The sequence below is a fragment of the Homo sapiens genome, chromosome 12 (genome assembly GCF_000001405.40).
Source record: "Homo sapiens chromosome 12, GRCh38.p14 Primary Assembly".
Taxonomy (NCBI): Eukaryota; Metazoa; Chordata; class Mammalia; order Primates; family Hominidae; genus Homo; species Homo sapiens.
In genome coordinates, this window is record NC_000012.12 from 115,086,405 (window position 1) to 115,108,408 (window position 22,004).

The window sequence follows — 22,004 nt, forward strand, 5'->3', positions numbered from 1 at the left end:
AGCACAGTGATATTATAGCAGTTCATCCAGGCCCTATATGCATGGCCTTCTCTGTAGACTTGGGTGGGATGCTGATTTCTCCTCTCAGGAACGAAGAGTGCCCTTTCCTTTTGATGCCAGAGAATCCTTTAAACGTTCCCACCATTCTTTTCCCAGAGCCCTTATCACCTTCTAACATATATTTTTTTTCCTTCTTTTTCTTTTTTTTTTTTTCGAGACGGAGTCTGGCTGTGTCGCCCAGGCGGGAGTGCAGTGGAGCAATCTCGGCTCACTGCAACCTCCGCCTCCCAGGTTCATGCCATTCTCCTGCCTCAGCCTCCCGAGCAGCTGGGACTACAGGCACCCGCCACCACACCCAGCTAATTTTTTGTATTTTTAGTAGAGACGGGGTTTCACCATGTTAGCCAGGATGGTCTCGATCTCCTGACCTCGTGATCCACCCGCCTCGGCCTCCCAAAGTGCTGGGATTACAGGCGTGAGCCACTGTGCCCGGCCCCTTATTTTTCTTAGAGAATCTCTGTCTCCCTGCTAAAATATAACCACCTGGGATCCCCTTCTAACATATTATATGTTTTATCTATTTATTTTTTGTTAATTAATCTCCTTAAGGATTCATTAAGGACATCATTAATGAGTCATTAATGAATTTCCTTAAGGAATCTATCCCTGATAGAATATAACCACCTGGAAGGCAAGGAAATTTGTCTGTTTTGTTCACTGATGTGTCTCAAGATCTTAGGCCAGTACGAGCAGACAGGAGACCCATAGTAAATATGGCTGATCTGTAATAATATTCTCTCTCTATGCATCTGTCTCCTCAACAAGAACATAAAGTTGGCAAATCTGGGGTCTCTGTCTTCTTCCTCTTTCTACCTCTTAGTTCTTCATATTGACTGGCCTATAGGAGGCATCCAGTAGAAATGTGTTGAATAATAGCAATAATCATCTCTTCCTTTATGGAGATCTAATTATGTAGCAGGCCTTTTTTTTTTTTAATTTTACTTTAAGTTCTGGGATACGTGTGCTGAACGTGCAGGTTTGTTACATAGGTATACATGTGCCATGGTGGTTTGCTGCACCTACCAACCCGTCATCTATGTTTTAAGCCCCTCATGCATTAGGTATTTGTCCTAATGCTCTCCTTCCCCTTGCCTCCTGCCCCTTGACCTGTCCCAGTGTGTGATGTTCTCCTCCCTGTGCCCATATGTTCTCATTGTTCAACTCCCACTTATGAGTGAGAACATGCAGTGTTTGGTTTTCTGTTCCTGTGTTAGTTTGCTGAGGATGATGGTTTCCAGCTTCATCCATGTCCCTGCAAAGGATATGAACTCATTCTTTTTTATGGCTGCTTAGTATTCCATGGTGTATATGGTGGCAGACCTTATTTTAACTACTTCATGTGCAGTATATCATTTGGTCCTCAAACAAACAACACTACGTGGGAGATATCACTAATATGTCCATTTTACAGATGAAGAAACTGAGGTACAGAGAGGCAAAATGTCCCACCCAAGTCTACAGAGAAGGCCATGTGCATAAGGCCTGGATAAATCACTATAATATCATTGTATTAGCACCTCAATACATTTTTATTTTCACTCTTTTAAAAATTCTCTGAGATTAGATACATAAAATATGAAGTCAACACCTTTCTCGGTGGTGAACTGTCTGTGCGACACTTGTTTGCAGATATGTCACTGCCATGTTTTCCATTCTGGTCCAATATAGATTTTTCTCAAGTTGGCCACCTAATACACGGAGGTGTGATTCAGGTCCCCTCAGCAGGGCTGTAGTGACATTGTGACATTTGAACTAGGAATTGGAGGAAATTGATGCCATATATCAGACTCAATGCCAGTAGCTTCTTGGGGATATGTCAACAAAGGTCCTGAGAGATGATAACACAGAATTATAGAAAAGGCCTGGGTGGAACAGTCTTCAGGGAAGAAAGAGAAACTGGGTCCTATTCATAACTGAGCAGTAGAGGTCCTCAAGATAAAAGCAATGTTTGGGGACAGCTGCTTAATGTCAACTCTCATGTACTTCCCTTAAAGCAATTCCAAGTGAAGTTTAGAGACAGCAGGTGCCAGGGAGAAGAAGATTAGTCTTCACAAAGCCCCTACTATGTGCCAGTCCTGGTGTGAGCTCAGCGATCATTTTATATCATTCAATCTGGCGATTTTTAGCCCTGTCTGCATGTAAGACTCATCCAAAGAGATTTTTTTAAAGACAGAAGACACCCAAGACCCAGCCCCAGAGATTCTGAATCCACTGGCCTTAGGGAGCCTGGACAAAGCTGTGTTCCAGAACACTTAAAATGATTTCCATGTAGGGCTGGGGTTAAGAATCACTGGTTTAATCTTTGCAACAATTCTCCAATATTGACCTTACTCTCATCTGCCTTTTAGAGATGATGAAACCAAGGCTGAGTGGCTAAGGAACTAAGCCAAGGCCATCCAGCTAGCATGTGACAGAGCTTGGGTTCATGCCCAGGGCGTCTGACTACAAATTTGTTACTCTTTCTACTGCCAAAGTGGTCAGGGTGAATGGGCCCTGTGAACACCTTCAATCCCACTCCTTGGTCATGTAGACCTGGTAAAGATCAATGCCACCAGAATCCAGGTGGTCTCTATTCAAACACTCCTCCCAGAGGAATGAGCTTTGGGGACTCTAGTTTGCACACTCATATTGAACTCCTAAAAATGGAAATAATGGTGGAGGTGGGGCTGGGTCAAGAGCAGGATAGGAACCCAGTGTCTGGAACTTACCTTCATCCTTTTTCTGATCCGAGGGCTTGCTGGGACATTCCCCAATATCCTCTCCATCTTGGACTGCACTTCCAGGGAAGAAGGAACCATGCAGGTTCCTACAAGGGACCTTAGGCTCCTGAGGAGGAAAGGGGCCATTTAGCCTTCCTGACTCTTTATTGCTTTAATTAGCTGTTTGGTGACCTGACAGTCTCTTTGATGCACGTCCAGCGTCGGCCTGTGAAATACGGGGAATGTCAGCTTGTCGAACAAGGGTCAGCTAGACTATCAATACTGTTGTCCATCAGGCAGATCCAGGCTGGGTGTTGGCCTGCAATGATTAAGCCATCTCTCCCCTCCCCCTGGCCAAAGTGTCGGTGGCGTGTGGAGCATGGCCCGTGGCTGGAGGCGAGGTGACGGTGTCGAGGCCATTGGGCGGCTGACTTCAAACCAGAGGCCCAGGGCAGCAAACTGCAGGGAGAAAGCACAGTCCAAGGTAAACAAACTATAACAAACCCAAAAAAGGTGGCCAGTCAACAAGTCAGGACAAGAGGAGGGTCTCTGGGACACCCAGTGGGGTGCTCAGTCTTCAAGTTAACTCTGTCTGCACTGCTGGCTTCTGGGAGCACAGAAATTTGTCCTAAATCATTACAATGGTAAGTAACACAGACCAAGAAACAAAAACTGTAAGGTTTGAGGCAACTAAAACATCAGTGTATATTCATAGTGTGACGTGGCTAACAAATACATCGAAGGGATCTATAAATGCACTAATAAAGGTATACTGACTGCATTAAAGGAGGGGATTCATTCATTTCCCGAGTATTAACTGAGCATGTATTATGTGCCATGGTTTAATCTAGTTGCTGTGGATATTACAGTAAACAAAAAAGACATAAATCCTTGCTCTCATGGAACTTTCAAGGCAATAGAAACAGATTTTAAAAGAATAATAATTAATTATAAGGTATGGTAACATGTGCAATAAAGAAACAAAAGTGACTGGGCATGGTGGCTCAGGCCTCTAATCCCAGCACTTTGGGAGGCTGAGGTGGGTGGGTCACTTTGAGGCCAGGAGTTGGAGACCAGCCTGGCCAACATGGTGAAACTCTGTCTCTACTGAAAATACAAAAAATTATTGTATTTTCAGTAGAATGAAAATACTACTGAATGGTCTCACACACCTGTAGTCTCAGGCACTCAGTAGGACTGAGGCAGGAAAATCACTTGAACCCTGGAGGCAGAGGTTGCAGTGAGCCAAGAACGCGCCACTGCACTTTAGCCTGGGAGACAGAGCAAGACTCCATCTCAAAAAAAACAAAACAAAACAAAAAAAAGGCTGAGCGCGGTGGCTCACGCCTGTATTCCCAGCACTTTGGGGAGGCCAATGCAGGCAAATCACGAGGTGAGGAGATCAAGACCATCCTGGCCAACATGGTGAAACCCCATCTCTACTAAAATACAAAAAATTAGCCAGGGATGATGGCGGGTGCCTATAATCCCAGCTACTCAGGAGGCTGAGGCAGGGGAATCGCTTGAACCCAGGAGATAGAGGTTGCAGTGAGCTGAGATCACGCCACTGCACTCCAGCCTGGTGACAGTGTGAGACTCCGTCTCAAAAAAAAAAAAGAAAAAAGTTAAAAGTTTAGGAATGGTTTGCCATTGTAAACGTGGTTATAACAGAAAATGTCTATGAGAGGGCAACATTTAAGCAGTCTTGAAGGGGGTTGAGAAAAAAGAGAGAGAGAGAGAGAATGTCACACAGAGATCTGTGGGAAGGGTCTTCCAGGAAGCGGGAACAGCCAGTGCAAAGGTCCGGAGATGGAATTGTGCCTGGAATGCTTGAGGAATGCAGGAAGCCTATTAAAAGTGGAGTGGTGTGAAATGAGCGAGAAGCCAGTGAGAGATGAAGTTGGAGAAATAATTTAGGCCAGATTTTGAAGGGCTTTGTGGACTATTGAAGGGATTTTAGCTTCTACTCTGAGTGAGACAGACAGTGTGGGAAAGTTTTGACCAGAAGAGTGACATGATCTGACTTAGGTTGTAATAAAATCCCTCTGGTTGCTTTTTGGAGACTACAGAAGGGCAAAGACAAAAGCTGGGAGACCAGTGACGAGGTTTCTAGGTGGCCTTCCCTGAACCAAGGTGGCGTGCAATCTATATCTATAACTACATCTATTTCTGTGTCTATATCTATACTTTTGTATATGCAAACACCATATATATAAACATTATATATATAAAATGCTTATATGTTGAAAGAAGTATCTATATAGTGTTTACTTGAGGATATATATTTATATAAAACTGTTTACTTGGCTGATTTGTACAAAAGGAAAGAACCAGGAATTCTAACTTATGAAAGTATAAAGAAAAAGGATCTCTGGGGAAGTATTTTTGGGGAAAGGTGGTATGGTTTGGCTGTGTCCCCACCCAAATCTCATCTCATGTTGTCATCTGAATTGTAATCCCCACGCGTCACAGGAGGGACCTGGTGGGAGGTGACTGGATCAGGGGGGTGGTTTCCCCATGCTGTTCTCATGATAGTGAGTGAGTTCTCATGAGATCTGATGGTTTTATAAGGGGCTCTTCCCAATTGCTCAGCACTTCTCCTTCCTGCTGCCTTGTGAAGAAGTTTCTTTCTTCCCCTTCACCTTCAGCCATGATTGTGAAGTTTCCTGAGGCCTCCCCAGCCATGCTGAACTATGAGTCAATTAAACCTCTTTCCTTTATGAATTACCCAGTCTCCGGCAGTTCTTTTTTTTTTTTTTTTTCTTTTTTCAGAAGGAGTCTCCCTCTGTCGCCAGGCCGGAGTGCAGTGGCGCAATCTCAGCTCACTGCAACCTCTACCACCCCTGGGTTCAAGGGATTCTTCTGCCTTAGCCTCCCTAGTAGCTGGGACTACAGGCACGCGCCACCACGCCCAGCTAATTTTTTTGTATTTTTAGTAGTGACAGAGTTTCACTATGTTGGCCAGGATGGTCTCGATTTCTTGACCTCGTGATCCACCTTCCTGCCTCCCAAAGTGCTGGGATAACAGATGTGAGCCACCACGTCTGGCCTCAGGCTGTTCTTTATAGCAGTATGAAAATGGACTAAGCAGAGATTGGACCAGAAACACTCTTGGATTGCACATTAAGCAGTGTGGATTTGATCTGTGAGCACGGAGGAGCCATGGCAGGTGCTAGGGCAGGGAAGAATCATCATCAGATTGACTTCAGAATGATCCCTCTGGCTGTACAGCAGGAGACGTGTTGGTGGGACCATTGAGATGACTTTGGCAGTCATCAGGGTGGGAGTTCTTGAGGTCTTGTCCAGAAGGTGATGGTAGCATTAGAGAGAAGTGAGCAGATTTGAGTTATGATCAGAATGTAAAATAGAGGGGAGTTGAGTTGATGGGGTCTGAAATTATCCCTGCAGCAATTCATGCTGTAACCACACTGCGCTCTCTGCAGGGTCAGTACCCACCAGACCCTTCCCACTTTCATCCTGGCCCCCCTGTCTACTCAAGTACTTTTCTTTACCTGAGAATGTCTTCCCTATCCCCTGTCCCATCCCATTTATCTCCCTCGTCCTCTATTCCCCTCTCAAGACTCAGCTCTCATTTCCTACTTCATGAAGTCTCACTTGACACCTCTACCCTGGATTCCTCCCTAATGTGACTTTGCCCTTCTCAATCCCACTTGCACACTGTAGTGACTGCTCTCAGGACTGCCATATAAAGTTGTGCAGGTTGGGCACTGTGCAAATGGTCTGGCCAAAGTGGCCAATGGGGGATGAGATCCATTGATTCACCAAGTCCTGACTGCTCCAAGGGAATACCTTTTTCACATTTTTCTAATTCACACAAACCATGCGGTGGATTAGCCCTGATTGATTTCCAATATCTGCTGCACTGAATTGCAATTACTCATTCACTTGTCACCTGCCCAGATAGACTTAGCTCATTTCTCCATCCCTAACACCTAGGACAGTGTCTGAATGTTTTTTGAATATAAATAGATGAGTAGATAGATATACACATGGGTGGATAGAAGAAAGGATGTTATTCTTCCCAGTTGTATAATACACCAACACAGAAAAATAATAATTAGCTTATGTCAAATGTCTCATTAGCATCCCCATGGGGCATCTTGTCAAGATACCACCATTTCTCCACATGAGGAGACAAACTTTTCCTGAAGGACCAAATAGTAAATATTTCAGCTTTGTGGTCCATAAAGTCCCTGTTGCAACTACCCAGCTCTGCCGCTGTGTGTGAAGGCAGCCACAGACAATGCATAAATGAATGGGCATGGCTGTGTTCCAATAAAACTTTATTTACAGAATCAGGTGGGGAATGGTTTGCCTACCCTTGGTCCAGATCTCTATCTCACCAAGAAATTCTCTTTTTCATTTGTTTCTTTCCAATGACTCCATTTCTCTATGTCCAGACTGTAATGATTTATGATGCTAATAATATTTATAGCTAACACTTAATCTGTGTTTGTTCTGTGTCAGGCTCCAGCCTAAGCCCAGTTTATATATTATCCCAATTAATTCCCACAACCACCCTACAAGATACTAATGCTATTCCATATCGCAATGAAAAGACCAAGACACAAAAACTTAAAGTGGCCCAAGGGTATATAGTTTTAATTGCTGAAGTGGGCTCTCTGACTACTGAGTCTTGGATATTAGCAACTTTATATATTAACATAATAATGTTAGTAATAAGAACAATAATAGCATCATTTTCTGAAGGCTTACTCTGTTCAAAGAGCATATCAGTGCTTTACAGCCATCTCTCTGATTTTTCCTAGCCACACAGGAAGGTCAACATCTTACCCAGGGTCACACAGCTACAAAGCTGCATTTACATGAACTGTCTATACTATACCCCAGATGCTGGGAACTTTCTAGAAAATAGACTATTTGACTTGGTGGTCTTACTCCCCTGATGCCACTCAGTGCCGAATTTCTTCCTCCTTGCACGAGGTGTGCCTTAGGCTCTGTAGGTGCTTTTTATCTTATCTGGCCCTTTCCCCCCTCACTTTGTGAGTTGTCACGTTTGTCATTCTAGGATAAACTTTCAGCCGGTGCAGCACGTACTTTGGGGTCATTGCCCTGTGTTACCCCAAGGATTGTTCAAATATTTGTGATCTTGTCAAGCTCCCTCTTACTGGATGTGTGTCATGGCAGTGTGGGAGGGGCATTTTATTCGGGGGGGATAAATGTGAGCCAGTGAGTAGCAAGCAGCCCTTCAAGGGAGGCCATGGAAGGCAGGTAGTAAATACACTACTTCTTGGCCCAAGGTCGTATGCAGGTGACCTTCAAGAGGAAAGAGGGAGGTTAGCATTTATTGAGTATTTCCCATGTGCCGGGCACTTTTACACACATGGGTACAGGTGTTGTTCACAAATGCACTGAAAGGATTCTAAGAACCATTTCACTGATAAGAAAACCAAGGCTGAAAGTTTATCAGCTGTTCTACAGGGGTTCTGATATTGCGTGTGCATGTGTGTGTGTGTGTATACACACCATAGACTTTTGGCAGTCTACTGAAGTCTCGGGATCCCTTCTCAGAATAGTGTTTTAAAATACGTAAAATAAGATAGTTAAATAAGATTACTAAAGAAATCAACTGCATTGAAGTACAGTTATCAAATAGGAAAGAAATTGTAATATGGTGATATTTGTGCTTCTTTTTCAACTCGTGAAATATCAAGTCCCAGCAGCAGATCTAATAACAACCACGATGGCAGAGGTGTCATGAGGTTAAAGTACATCAAGTTATCTGTGACATATGTGATGTGATATGCCAATATCAGTGATATTTATTGGTGACAAAGTCACAAAGGTTCCCAAATCCTGCTACATATATGTTGCCTATATTCAGAATTAACAGAAAGAAATACTTAATTTCAGTTTGAGGCTGGTCAACAAAGATATGACGTATTTTCTTTCTGTCCAGGTTCACGAGTGCCCTGAATTCCATCCACAGAGCTATTGGATGTTTGGAGCCCAGGTGAAGATCCCAGAGCTGGGGAACGAAAGGTTGGAAAAGCCCAGCCAGCTGTGCAAGCCTCCAGAGACACTCTCTTGACTGCGGTGAGGTGCCTGCCACAAAACCCCTAGCTCCCTGCTCTTCAACCTCTGGCTTTGGCGGCAGGTGAACCAGTTAGCCATGCCAGGAGGCAGAAAGGGCAGAACGCAGAGCCTGCCTTTTGAAGCCTTTTGCTTCCTTTGATGTGCAGATTTTATCAAGGTCCTTTCTGGAGTTGGGCAAATCCCAGTTGCCTTCTTCAAATCCTCCTTTTGAGAATATTTCCAGAGAATCCCCAAACCGCTCTCCTATGGTTTATTTTAGGCTGCTTACTTGCTTGCATTCATTTATTTACTTATTTATTTATTTTGCAGAGGAAAGTGATAGCCTGCTGGGCTGGACCTGGACTTTGAGACAGAACTTTCGAATCCGAAGAAGAGATGATTTTCAGATAGTCCTCCTTCCAGGTCAGGTTTAAGAAAAATAGTGAAGGGAAATATTAATAAACATGATCAAAATATTCATGTGTAATAATTAAGCAATTCAGCGCCTTGAACTTAACAGGTTTAAGTTGAAATTCCTTAGTGGATACGTGATTTTAGAGAAGTGGATTAAACTTTCTAAACTTCTCTTTACATATAAGGAAACCGAGGCAGGCTCAGAGAAGCTAAGTAGCTCTTTTGAGTCCACACAGCTAGTAAGGGGATGCTGAGAGTAGAATGCAGGTCCATCTGACTATATGACTATCTGGCTGAGGAAGGAAGAGAGGCTGCTGCTCTGCAGTACCCTACCAACAAGGACAATAATAACCAGAGCAACAGTAGCTACCCCTAAAGAAACACGGACTCCATGCTAGGCACTATAGCAGGCATTTCAATGAGTTTTCTTTCATCCTCCCAATGGCCCTGCGAGGTAGGGATGATTCCCCACTTTCCACTAAAGAGAATCCTGAGATCAGAGAGGTGAGATGATTTTTGCAAAGTCACACAGCCATGGATGGCAAAACCCAGGTCTGGCCGAGCCAGGAAACTTTCCTCAACCATGTCCAGAAGTAAAGTTCCTGAGGCCTCTCTTGGAGATAGGGAATTATGATTTCCAAAGCAGAACTCCAAACAGTTCCACTCTGAATGAGTTGACAGTGGCAATTGGTCCCTTGAGATAAAAGTCAACAATGGCTATGCTGAAGCTATAGCATTGAGGGAAGGGATCTTGAACTTTGGAATAGGCCAAAGAAGGAGGAGGCAAGGGAGGACCTGAAATGCGCTGGAAGAAGGCATTCAGCAACCTCATAGCTTTCCAGCGCTTGCTAGGGCTGCAGGAATGAAACGAGGCTGTGGCTTCTTTCCAAGCTGACCTGAAGGCTGCAAGATGTGATGGCTGTTGCCGGAGATGTTCTTTGACACAGCTACCAGCATTGCAGAAGCATGACAATATCTCCAGCATCACCTTCCTGAGTCCAAAACTCTGTAAATTTGAACTCAGAGAGAGACACAAGATCCCAGCATGATGCTCCTATGGTACTGTGGGACCTGGATTGGGACTTAGAATCCCATGCAAGGGTATGAGTCTTGTCCATTCTCCCAGCCTCCCTTGCAGCCCAGAGCTCACATCTGCAGCCCATCTGGCTAGGCTTAGGAGTGCAGTCCACGGTCAGGGAAAAGGAAGTCTCTCTGTGTGTATTTCAGGCCTGGCCTGGACAGCCTAACACTCCTCCCAGGCCAAGATCAGCGGATAAAATCAGTCCAATGAGCTGCTTGTCAGAGAAGCTTCTGGCCTTGACTTTCAGATTCCTGAGTCATCTCTCCTTGGGCCTATCCTCTGTTGGACTTCCTTGCAGGGGCCTTTGATGAACAGATGAGATAATAGATATGCTTTGAAAAAGATAAAATGCTGAACAAAGTGTTTTGCTGGCCACTGCAATGAGTGCCATGGATTGGTTAAACCTTGAATCTCCTTCCTGTCCAAGGGCAAAGACTTCTCCCAACCTCTGCATCTCTAAGACAGCCAGTTTGTGTGGTGACAAGCACCCTGCACCCCCCAACCACTCAGGGTAATAAACTCAGCAGCCATTAGTAACAACAGTTAGAAGATGGGCTTATATGTTAGGCACATTTCATCCACCAACCAATGGAATCATCAAAACAAGCATGAAATAGGGGTATGGATTTTCCCACTCTATGGACAAAAAACCCTGATGCATGGGGAAGTCAAAAAACATGCCCAAGATCTTACAGCTACTTGGTACAGATTTAGGATTTGGACCCAAGCCTACTCATTCCAATCTCCAACAAAACATGAGGGATTTAGCGATGATGTCCTCAGCTAGAATAAAATATAACACAATTGGAACAAGAAACATGTGGTTTGACAAACATGTCCCTGATAGCTCTTCCAAATTTGCAGAAAATATGACTTTTCCTCATCACTGCAGCTGGAGATCTTGGCGTGAGTTGTATGAAGTGGAGGTTCCGCTGCAGGGAGATGCGAGATCATAGCATTATTCTGTTGGCTGAGACCTTGATGGTTATTTAGGGCCAGCAAACCCTTCACAATAGTCACGCCAAGAGCTGTCCAGCCAATGCTTGGACACTTGCAGAGATGAGGAACTTATTCCTGCAAGGTGGTTTAGTCTAGTCCCAGATATCTCATCATTATTTATCACTCCTTTGGGCAAATTGATGACAGGATGTATTAAAATTGAAAACGTGCTCTTCCTACTGTCCAGCAAGTACACCCTTACAGAGATGCGGGAGGAGGGTAAAGAGGGTTTCACAGCTACACTGTATTAGCAAAAAAATCGGAACCAACCTGTATATCTCCCAATAAAGCAGTGATGCCAAAAAAGTAAAATATTCCTTCAATGGAACATTATATAGTCATAAAAAAGAACATACTAAGTCTATAATGTATCCCTATGGAGAAATCTCAGAGAAACAATGATGAATAAAAAGAGCATGCTGCTGAAAATTTAGTACAGTGTAGTAAGACTATTCATGCTTAGAGCAACAAAAAACCAAGCTATATATTTTCTATGGTAAAGACATGGGTGCAAAGGTGTTTGAAAAGTTCTACAAAGGTAATTAACAAATTGACAATAGATACTTCTGGGGGAGCAGGGAGAGAAGAAGGCTCCAAACTTATTTGTAGCATTAAATGATATTTTAAAGGAAGATAAGTTACTATATGTTTAGGTAATTAAAATTTATCCGAAAGTCTTTAATGAGAATTTCTTTCTATTATATTGTGCTGAAATCTGCTGTATCTTTAGCGTCTTTAATTTGCTCTATTTTCTCCCCCAGAGAATATGTGAAGGTGGGGTTTGAAACTTTTCTGAACCAAAAACCTCTGTTTCCACAACTATTACTAATCTGCCTCAGTTTCCCAGTTCCTTACTTCCCAAATTCTCTGTTATACAAACTCTTATTGCTCTCTCCTCTCCTTTCCTTTCCTTTCCTCCCTCCCTCCTTTCCTTCCTTCCTGCCTTCCTGCCTTCCTGACTGCCTTCCTGCCTCCCTCCCTCCCTCCCTCCCTTCCTTCTTTCTTTCCTTCCTTTCTTTTTTCCTTCCTTCTTTCCTTCTTCCCCATTTCCTCCCTCGCTATGTCCCTCCTACCCTCTCTGAGATTAAAACATTCAAAAAAGATTGGGCACAGTGGCTCACGCCTGTAATTCCAGCACTTTGGGAGACCGAGGCAGGTGGATCATGAGGTCAAGAGATTGAGACCATCCTAGCTAACATGGTGAAACCCTGTCTCTACTAAAAATACAAAAAATTAGCCAGGTGTGGTGGCAAGTGCCCGTAGTCCCAGCTACTTGGGAGGCTGAGGCAGGAGAATAGCTTGAACCTGGGAGGTGGAGGTTGCAGTGAGCCGAGATCGCGCCACTGCACTCCAGCCTGGGCAACAGAGTGAGACTCTGTCTCAAAAAAAAAAAAAAAAAAAGGAACATATCTCAAAATAATAAGAGCTATTTATGACAAACCCACAGCCAATATCATACTAAATGGGCAAAAACTGAGAGCATTCCCTTTGAAAACTGGCAGAAGACAAGGATGCCCTCTCTCACCACTCCTATTCAACATAGTATTGGACATTCTGGCCAGGGCAATCAGGCAAGAGAAAGAAATAAAGGGTATTTAAATAGGAAGAGAGGAAGTCAAATTGTCTCTATTTGCAGATGACATGATTGTATATTTAGAAAACCCCATCGTCTCAGCCCCAAATCTCCTTAAGCTGATAAGCAACTTCAGCAAAGTCTCAGGATACAAAATCAATATGCAAAACTCACAAGCATTCCTATACACCAATAACAGACAGAGAGCCAAATCATGATTGAACTCCCATTCACAATTGCTACAAAGAGAATAAAATACCTTGGAATACAACTTGGAATACAACTTACAAGTGATGTGAAGGACCTCTTCAAGGAGAACTACAAACCACTGCTCAAGAAATAAGAGAGGACACAAACAAATGGGAAAACATTCCATGCTCATGGATAGGAAGAATCAATATTGTGAAAATGGCCATACTGCCCAAAGTAATTTATAGATTCAGTGCTATCCCCATCAAACTACCATTGATTTTCTTCACAGAATTAGAAAAAACTACTTTGATTTTCATATGGAACCAAAAAAGAGCCCATATAGCCAAGAAAATCCTAAGCCAAAAGAACAAAGCTGGAGGCATAACGCTACCTGACTTCAAACTATATTACAAGGCTACAGTAACCAAAACAGCATGGGACTGGTACCAAAACAGATATATAGACCAATGAAACAGAACACAGCCCTCAGAAAGAACACCACACATCTACAACCATCTGATCTTTGACAAACGTGAAAAAAACAAGCAATGGGGAAAGGATTCCCTATTTAATAAATGATGTTGGGAAAACTGGCTAGCCATATGCAGAAAACTGACACTGGACCCCTTCCTTACAACTTATACAAAAATTACCTCAAGATAGATTAAAGACTTAAACCTAAGACCTAAAACCCTAAAAACCCTAGAAGAAAACCTGGGCAATACTATTCAGGACATAGGCATGGGCAAAGACTTCATAACTAAAACACCAAAAGCAATGTCAACAAAAGTCAAAATTGACAAATGGGATCTAATTAAACTAAAGAGCTTCTGCACAGCAAAAGAAACTATCATCAGAGTGAACAGGCAACCTACAGAATGGGAGAAAATTTTTGCAATCTATCCATCTGTCAAAGGGCCAATATCCAGAATCTACAAAGAAACAAATTTACAAGAAAAAAACAAACAACCCCATCAAAATGTGGGCAAAGGATATGAACAGACAATTCTCAAAAGAAGACATTTATGTGGCCAACAAACATATGAAAAAAAGCTCATCATCACAGGTCTTTAGGGAAATGCAAATCAAAATTATAATGAGATACCATCTCACGCCAGTTAGAATGGCGATCATTAAAAAGTCAGGAAACAACAGATGCTGGAGTGGATGTGGAGAAATAGGAATGCTTTTACTGTTGTTGTTGGGAATGTAAATTAGTTCAACCATTGTGGAAGACAGTGTAGAGATTCCTCAAGGATCTAGAACTAGAAACATCATTTGACCCAACAATCCCATTACTGGGTATATACCCAAAGTATTATAAATCATTCTACTATGAAGACAGATGCACTCATATGTTTATATTGGCACTGTTCACAATAGAAAAGACTTGGAACCAACTCAAATGCCCATCAGTGATAGACTGGATAAAGAAAATGTGGCACATATACACCATGGAATACTATGCAGCCATAAAAAAGGATGAGTTCATGTCCTTTGCGAGGACATGGATGAAGCTAGAAACCATCATTCTGAGCAAACTAACACAAGAACAGAAAACCAAACACCACATGTTCTCACTCATGACTGGGAGTTGAACAATGAGAGCACATGGACACAGGGAGGGGAATATCACACACTGGGGCCTGTCGGGGGGTCGGGGGCTAGGGGAGGGATAGCATTAGGAGAAACACCTAATGTTGATGACGGGTTGGTAGGTGCAGCAAACCACCATGGCACATGTATACCTATGTAACAAACCTGCACATTCTGCACATGTACCTCAGAACTTAAAGCATAAAAAAAAATTCAAAAAAAAAAAAAGAAGAAGAAACCAAGACCCACCCATAGTTCTATCATCTGGAATAAACCATTATGAACATGTTGGCATATTTTGTAACTGTCTCTCTTTTATCTTTACACTTTTCAAAATTACTCAATGAATACCCGAACGCACAGCTTTTAAATACCATTGGAATATCACAGTAAAGCTAAACTCCTCTCTATGCATACTCCTGGTTCCAATTCTATGCTCTCAACCAGGCTATCCACACAAACACAATATACTATTATGAACTCAGAGCATATACTCTCATTTTAATATAATTTTCCATACTTATACATGAACCCTTAAAAATATAGAGGTCCTCTTGGGTGTTTTAAATGTCATAGATGGGATATGAATCACTTTGCAAACAGAATTTTCTCTCCATATTCTCAGAAATCTCCCTGTTGACACATATAACTCTGGTTTGTCTACTTTGCTTGCAGTATTAAAACATGTGCATGCATAACACTGCACGTATCCAGTCCCCTGTTGATGGACATCTCAATTGATTCCAATTTCTTCTATCATAAATTATTCTGTAATGGACATACTTGTATATGTCTCCTTGTGCAAAAATATAAGAGTTTCTCCAGGAGAGACCTCCAGAAGTGACGTGCACCTCTTTCCCTTAATAAGCAAGAGTATCTAGAATTGAATCCACTCATCTGAATGTGGTCTCATCAGACCCTTCCACAAATATTTCATGGGGAAGCCACTATGTGTGATTATACTAGGCAGACAGAATATAAGACAAGCACAGTCCCTTCTTTCTTAGATCTTATAACCTCATGAAGGAGACCAGCAGTAAGCAAATATTTCGGATTGTTGGGTAAATACAGACACGCAATGTGCTGTGAAGATGGAGAAGGACGAGGGCACCACGACAGGTCACCCAGCCTAGCCCATGGTTAGTGAAGGCTTACTGGAGGAGCTAACTTGCCTACTTGAAAAAATAGGTCAGTTGAAAAATGGATGGTAGAGGATCATTTCAGCAGAGGAAGCTTGAGGCGATTGAGAAGAAACTGAGCAGGCTGTAAAATAGGGCTAAAAATACTCCCCAGCACTTTGAGTTACAGAGAGGATAAAATGAGAAAATTCATGTAAAGCATTTAGCATAGGGCCTTGAACATGGGCACATTCAATCAATGGTAGCAAAAATCATAGTAGTAATAATAATAATAATGTGTGACTGCTTCTTTAAAGAGCAAAAGGGAGCAGATACTCCCCCTGGGAATAAGAAAGGCAAATGTCCATGTGCGAGCTCCAGACTGTCCCCAGAGGCAAGGTGGTCAGTTACTGACTGACCGATGACCTTGAGCCTCGCCACTTTTCCTGGAAGCCTTTAGTCTTGAATCCAAGGGTGTCTCTCCAGATGGACCGTGGGTGTGGAGCTGAGCAACTACTCTGTCATTGATCATCCCCTGTGGTCCAGATGCTTCCCCAGAGGGTTGATTAGTGGGTGAGTGGGAGGTGCCCTCGGGGGTCTTATCAGCTGTGTCTGCAGAAGAGGCCAGAAGAGGAGGGTGAGGGTGGGATACAGCTCAGCCGTACTCTTTGAGGCTTCTGGCCTCTGTTTTCAGGCATGGACTCTTTATAATCCCTGTCAGATGTAGACAGGGAGGGCTGCTATAGTAGAACCTCTAAATCAAGGATAACAAAAGTCGACTGTCTATTGCACTTTTTCTAAATACGAATGCACTGTGCTAACCATATGCTACCTTGCTAAAGCCTTTCTGCAACTCCGTGATGGGGGTTCTATCTCATACTCACTTTCTGCACTGGGTAAGCTAAGGCTCAGAGAGGTCAAGTCACTTTCCCAAAGCCAGTTTTGTCAGCTGCAAACTCAGACTTTTATCCATTAGGCCGTTAATACAATCCTCTTTCCTTCCAACTCTGCCACTTGGGAGCTGTGATCTTAGACAAGGGACGTAACCCCTGCATGTCTTGGTTTATTGGACTGTATTATGAAATGAAGAAAATACTTCTTAGGGTTGTCAAAAGGATTAACATGAATTAATGTATGTCCAAGGTTCATGGCAATACCTGGCTTGCCACAGTAATGCAGTTGTGAGTTATTTGAATTATGATTATAGTTTTTTCTTTGGTGTGTGTTGGTGGCTTGTATTTTTCCATTTTGCAAATGACCTTTTCATAGATTTTCTTCACTAGATTTGTGTTTTGCTAAGGGTCTTTTTTGAAGACTGGACAAACTATGTGTTTTCCCTAAGGGGAAAAAAAGGGAAATGGTTGTACTCACCACTATGCCCCCACATGCATGTGGGATGGAAATTGACCACAAGGTCTGCAACCAATGTGACTTTTAACTTTCTGTAGCCTTCAATGTCAAGGCAGAACTTCAGGGTGGTGCCCTTCAGAGAATGTCAGTGTGGTGGCCTCCAAGCTGGGAGACCAGCAGAAAGACACCAGGGAGAACACCAAACCAAGAGCTCACGCAAGAGTTAAATGGAGTCCCCTCCCAAAGAGACCACCCAGAAACACATCGGCTTCACCGAAGAGATCCAAGTTCTTCCAAGAGAAGATCCATCTCCCTTTTGCAACTGAAGTGACCTGAACTCCTTAGGGGCCTCTTCCCTGTCTGACTTCCTGCTTGGGACTTCTCCAAACCTTCTCTCCTTAAACCCTGGCTGACTAGCTCCCTCTTTTCAATATCCGTTCCCTCCATACCCCCCTGCCCTTGGCCCTGCCCCAGATCCTGGCAACATCCTGTTCTTCCCCTGAACTAAACTCCCTCTCCAGCTTCCCAGTGTGATAGGAATCTTAAATAAATGCTTCCTGTCTCTTGACCACCTTATCTCCCATTCCTCCCGAATGGCTGACGTTCAAGAACCACAAGCAGTGTTGCACTCCCTTCTAATTTTAAACCTGCCCTCTGAGGCTCTCTCTTCTTCCTTCTTAAGGTTCCGGGAAAGGCCAGGCGGGTGTCAGAGGTCTTTGTCAACCCGCTGAGTCAGCAGAGGCAGAAGGCATTCTTCTTAAGTTCCCAGGGAGAGACTGGAGCTAAAGATCCTGGGTGACGCCACGTTGCAGTGCCTGCCCCAGAGAGAACTGCATGGACCAGGTACTTGGTGCAACTTTCTTATATTCATGAAGGACCATGAGAATGATTAAGGTGGGAATAAACCCAAACATGTCTATGAAGTAATAAGCTAGGAAAATTTGTACATGCACACACACACACACGAGTTGTCCTTTGTAAAGTGTACATGTCCAATATTCAGTCTTTTATTAACAAAATGTTGATTTCTACATTCACAGTCCTTGGAAGATTGGGTTCCAGGGATGTCATGTGACCCTCTCAGGCCCAGACAATCAGAGTGTTGCTGGCCAGTGATTGGATCTGAATGAGCATGTGTCTCAAGTCTGACCAATTGGAGTCAACAGAGACTCAACACTGAGTTTTTTCTTTGAGCCCTTGAGAGGGGGGTTATGTGCTATCAGGTGGTTGCAGCTAAGAGCATAAGAAGTCAGCTGACTTGATGGTGGTGAGGATTTCCTGGGTGTATGCTTATCCCAAACTGTGTCTATTTAAAATATACACAGGTTTTTATTATGTCGATCATGCTTCAATAAGGTGGTTTTTTAAAAAAGTCTGCTGAAAGCTGGAAGCGGCCACTTCAACATCACCCTCAGAATGGAGCATACTCAAGGGGAAGCCAAGCTGGAGTACAGAACAAGGAAAAGACTTGGTCTCATCTGAATCCATGAACGCAGCTCTGTCTGAAAGTGATTCTTCTGGAATTTTCAATGACTGGAGTCCGTAAAGTCCCTTCGTCTTAGTTTTTTGATCATTCATAATCACACACAAACACACACACACCCCACCCACACTCATACAAACATACACAATGAGGTGTGGATAAAATGAATAATCTATACTTGTACTGAAAATATATTAGTACATGCCTGGCACGGTGGCTCATGCCTGTAATCCCAGCACTTTGGGAGGTCGAGGGGGGCAGATCACGAGGTCAGGAGATCGAGACCATCCTGGCTAACACAGTAAAACCCCGTCTCTACTAAAAATACAAAAAATTAGCCAGGCGTGGTGGCGGGCGCCTGTAGTCCCAGCTACTCGGAAGACTGAGGCAGGAGAATGGCGTGAACCCAGGAGGCGGAGCTTGCAGTGAGCGGAGATCGCGCCACTGCACTCCAGCCTGGGCAACAGTTCGAGACTCTGTCTCAAAAAAAGAAAAAAAAAAAAGAAAGAAAATGTATCACTACCAAGATGTATTTTTAAAATGACTCTCTGAGTAAAACATTATTAGTCCCATTTCATGGGCTACTGAATAATAATACTGAAGCTCAGAGAATTGAAGATGTTTGCCCAAGATCACTCAGCTAGGAAGTTACAGAGCCCAGATTTAAATTCAGGGCTGCCCACGCCAAGGTCCTTGTTCTTTGCAAAACACGGAGCCATCTTTAAAGGCAGCTGAAGGAGCTCTTCTAGTCTAGATTACAGGATGTGACTTTGGCCACCATAATTAACTACAAGGACCCTGAGGTCTCATATATGCCACCCTCCTTTGTAGCCACTTCGTCGTCTTCCTTCACACATTTGCCTTTCTCCTTTTATCCCTCCCCTTCCTGGTTATGTCTGATCCCATCCACAGCCCTCTTCACCTTCTTAATAACTACATCATTCTATGAAACAGTTGAATTTGACCTTTTTTTTTTTTTTTTTTGAGACGGAGTTTTGCTCTTGTTGCCCAGGCGTGAGTGCAATGGCACAATCTCAGCTGACCACAACCTCCGCCGCCCCGGTTAAAGCGATTCTCCTGCCTTAGCCTCCCGAGTAGCTGGGATTTCAGGCACGTGCCACCACGCCAGGCTAATTTTGTATTTTTAGTAGAGACGGGGTTTCTCCATGTTGGTCGAGCTGGTCTCGAACTCCCGACCTCAGGTGATCTGCCCACCTCAGCCTCCCAAAGTGCTGGGATTACAGGCGTGAGCCACTGCGCCTGACTCGACCTTTATGTTTCTTCTTAGACTGTTCCATTCACTCCTCTTCCTCAGTTCACTTCTTCAGCAAGAGTATGTCCCAGGGTTCACCCTTAGTTCACTCCTCGGCTTTTAACTTGTCTCTTGCTTAAGCCTCAGACCCATAAACACCCACGTGTGTCTCCTCACATCTGCTCCTGGATGTCCCCCAGGCACCTCAAGCTTGGGCTGTCCAAAAGAGAGCTTAACACCTTCCCCCTAACCTGCTGTTGCACTTCTGTTCCCCAGTGCATCCGTGGCATGCTTGGCCTTCCACTCAATCAAACTGGAAGAATCTTGGAGTCTTGTTCAACTTCATCTTGTTCCACGCTTGTCCCACCTAATCAATCATCCATTCCTGTGACTTTTACTTCCCGTATAATCCCCAGGCTCACCCTCACTCTCCATTCCAATGAGCACTGTGCGTGTGATGGGATGAGTGAATAACTGACGGTGTGCATCAGGCTTTGGGAAACCACTCCTGGGTTTGTACACCGTTTCTTTGTCAGTGTGCGAAATGAGACCCCAACACGCAAGAGTGTGTGTGTTATATTTCTCTGGGTTGCTGTCTTCTATATCTAGTGATAGCTTATAATCGAGATTATTACAGGTTTAAGGACTTCACACTTTATTAAATGTGAGTCAACTCTTTCTTGACCATGTAGTATGTGTTTGTATGTCTGCACACGTGTCTGGGAACATGTGTGTTTTTAGGTTTCCCTGCCACCCTTACTCGCATAGTGCCCCGTATACACATGTCACAAAATGTGGACAATTCCACAGATGTTCCTTTCTCCAAATCCCAAACTTGCTTCTTTAACTAGGTCATGGTTAGTGCCATTTTCCTACTCCATCCCTTGTTTGCTATAACACTACTTACCTCATCTGAAAGTTGAACACAGCATAGATATTTACTAGAGAGGGCTGCTGAGTGGATTAAACCGGGATATGCCTGCAAAGTACTTAATTTGTACCTGGGAAATAGAAGCATCTAGTACATTATAGTACTATTGCTATGATTTTTAATATTATTATTATAAGGGAAAGAGAGATTTTTAAATTCTCATGTTCTTTCTGGGTCATGTCCTTAAAATTTCACTTCTTGATAAATTATTACAGACAGCTAAGACAGAGCAGTTCCCTTTTCATCCTGAAAATGAGCAGCACCTCCTTAATTGGTAGCCATTGGCAGAATCAGAGTGCCTGTCCTCTCACTGTTTATATTAGCAGATTTCATTAATCACACATAAGATAGTAGACATTACTATCTCACCACACTATGTGTTAAAAAATACTTAATTGTGTCTGAATAGATGTTTGTACCCTCAGAGAAAATATCAGAATGGAAACTCTTTAAACATGATTTTCTTTATATGCCCTTTTAGTTTCAATGAACAGTAGCTCATTGAAAAAGTTGAAGAGATGAGAACTAACTTCAATTGTGTTCCCATTATAAAACAGTGACTTGACTAATGTTAGCAGTCATAGCAGCTCTCTTTTGCCTTAGTTTCACCGGTGTGGAAACCGAGGCTCTGAGAATCTAAGAGACCTGCCCAAGTTGGCAGGGTTGGTCGTTCTCCATGCAAAGCAGTACGTGCAGTATTTAAGAGTATGGGCTCTGGAGAGAGGTTGCTTAGGTTCAAATCCTAGTCCTGCCACTTGCTAACTTTTTGATCTTTACACAGGTCATTAAACATCTCTGTGTCTCAGTTTTTCTACTTATAAAATGGGGATAATAGTACCTGTCTGATGGGGTTGTTGTGCTAATTAAATAAGAGAGTATATGTTAAGTATTTATCCAGTGCATGGCATGTGTGAAGCACTAAGCAAATGTGAGCTTTTATTATATTCCAGCTACACGAGCAGTATTTCTTTCTGGACTAGATACAAACCTTGTTCTTGCCTCAGGGCCCTTGCACTTGCTTTTCCCTCTGCCTGGAATGCTTTTCCTCCAGATCTTCACAGGAAAGGCTCCTTCTCATTCCCTTAGCTTTGCTCTGACCACCCTGTTGAATGTCACCCCAAACTATTGCACAATGTCACATTAAACTTTTTGTTGTCCTTGGAGTATTAATTCTGACATAAAATTATCACATTCATATT

General features: G+C 43.2%; 1 long non-coding RNA gene across 1 annotated transcript in view; it reads left to right on the plus strand.

The window, feature by feature from the left end:
- Positions 1–18,834, plus strand: part of LOC102723639 (uncharacterized) — a 92,097-nt gene extending 73,263 nt beyond the window's left edge. The window contains exons 5-8 of the long non-coding RNA XR_007063588.1: positions 8,701–8,837; positions 9,147–9,239; positions 17,822–17,982; positions 18,465–18,834. This is a non-coding gene — a long non-coding RNA (uncharacterized LOC102723639). The remainder of the gene's footprint in view (positions 1–8,700; positions 8,838–9,146; positions 9,240–17,821; positions 17,983–18,464) is intronic.
- Positions 18,835–22,004: the final 3,170 nt, after the last annotated feature.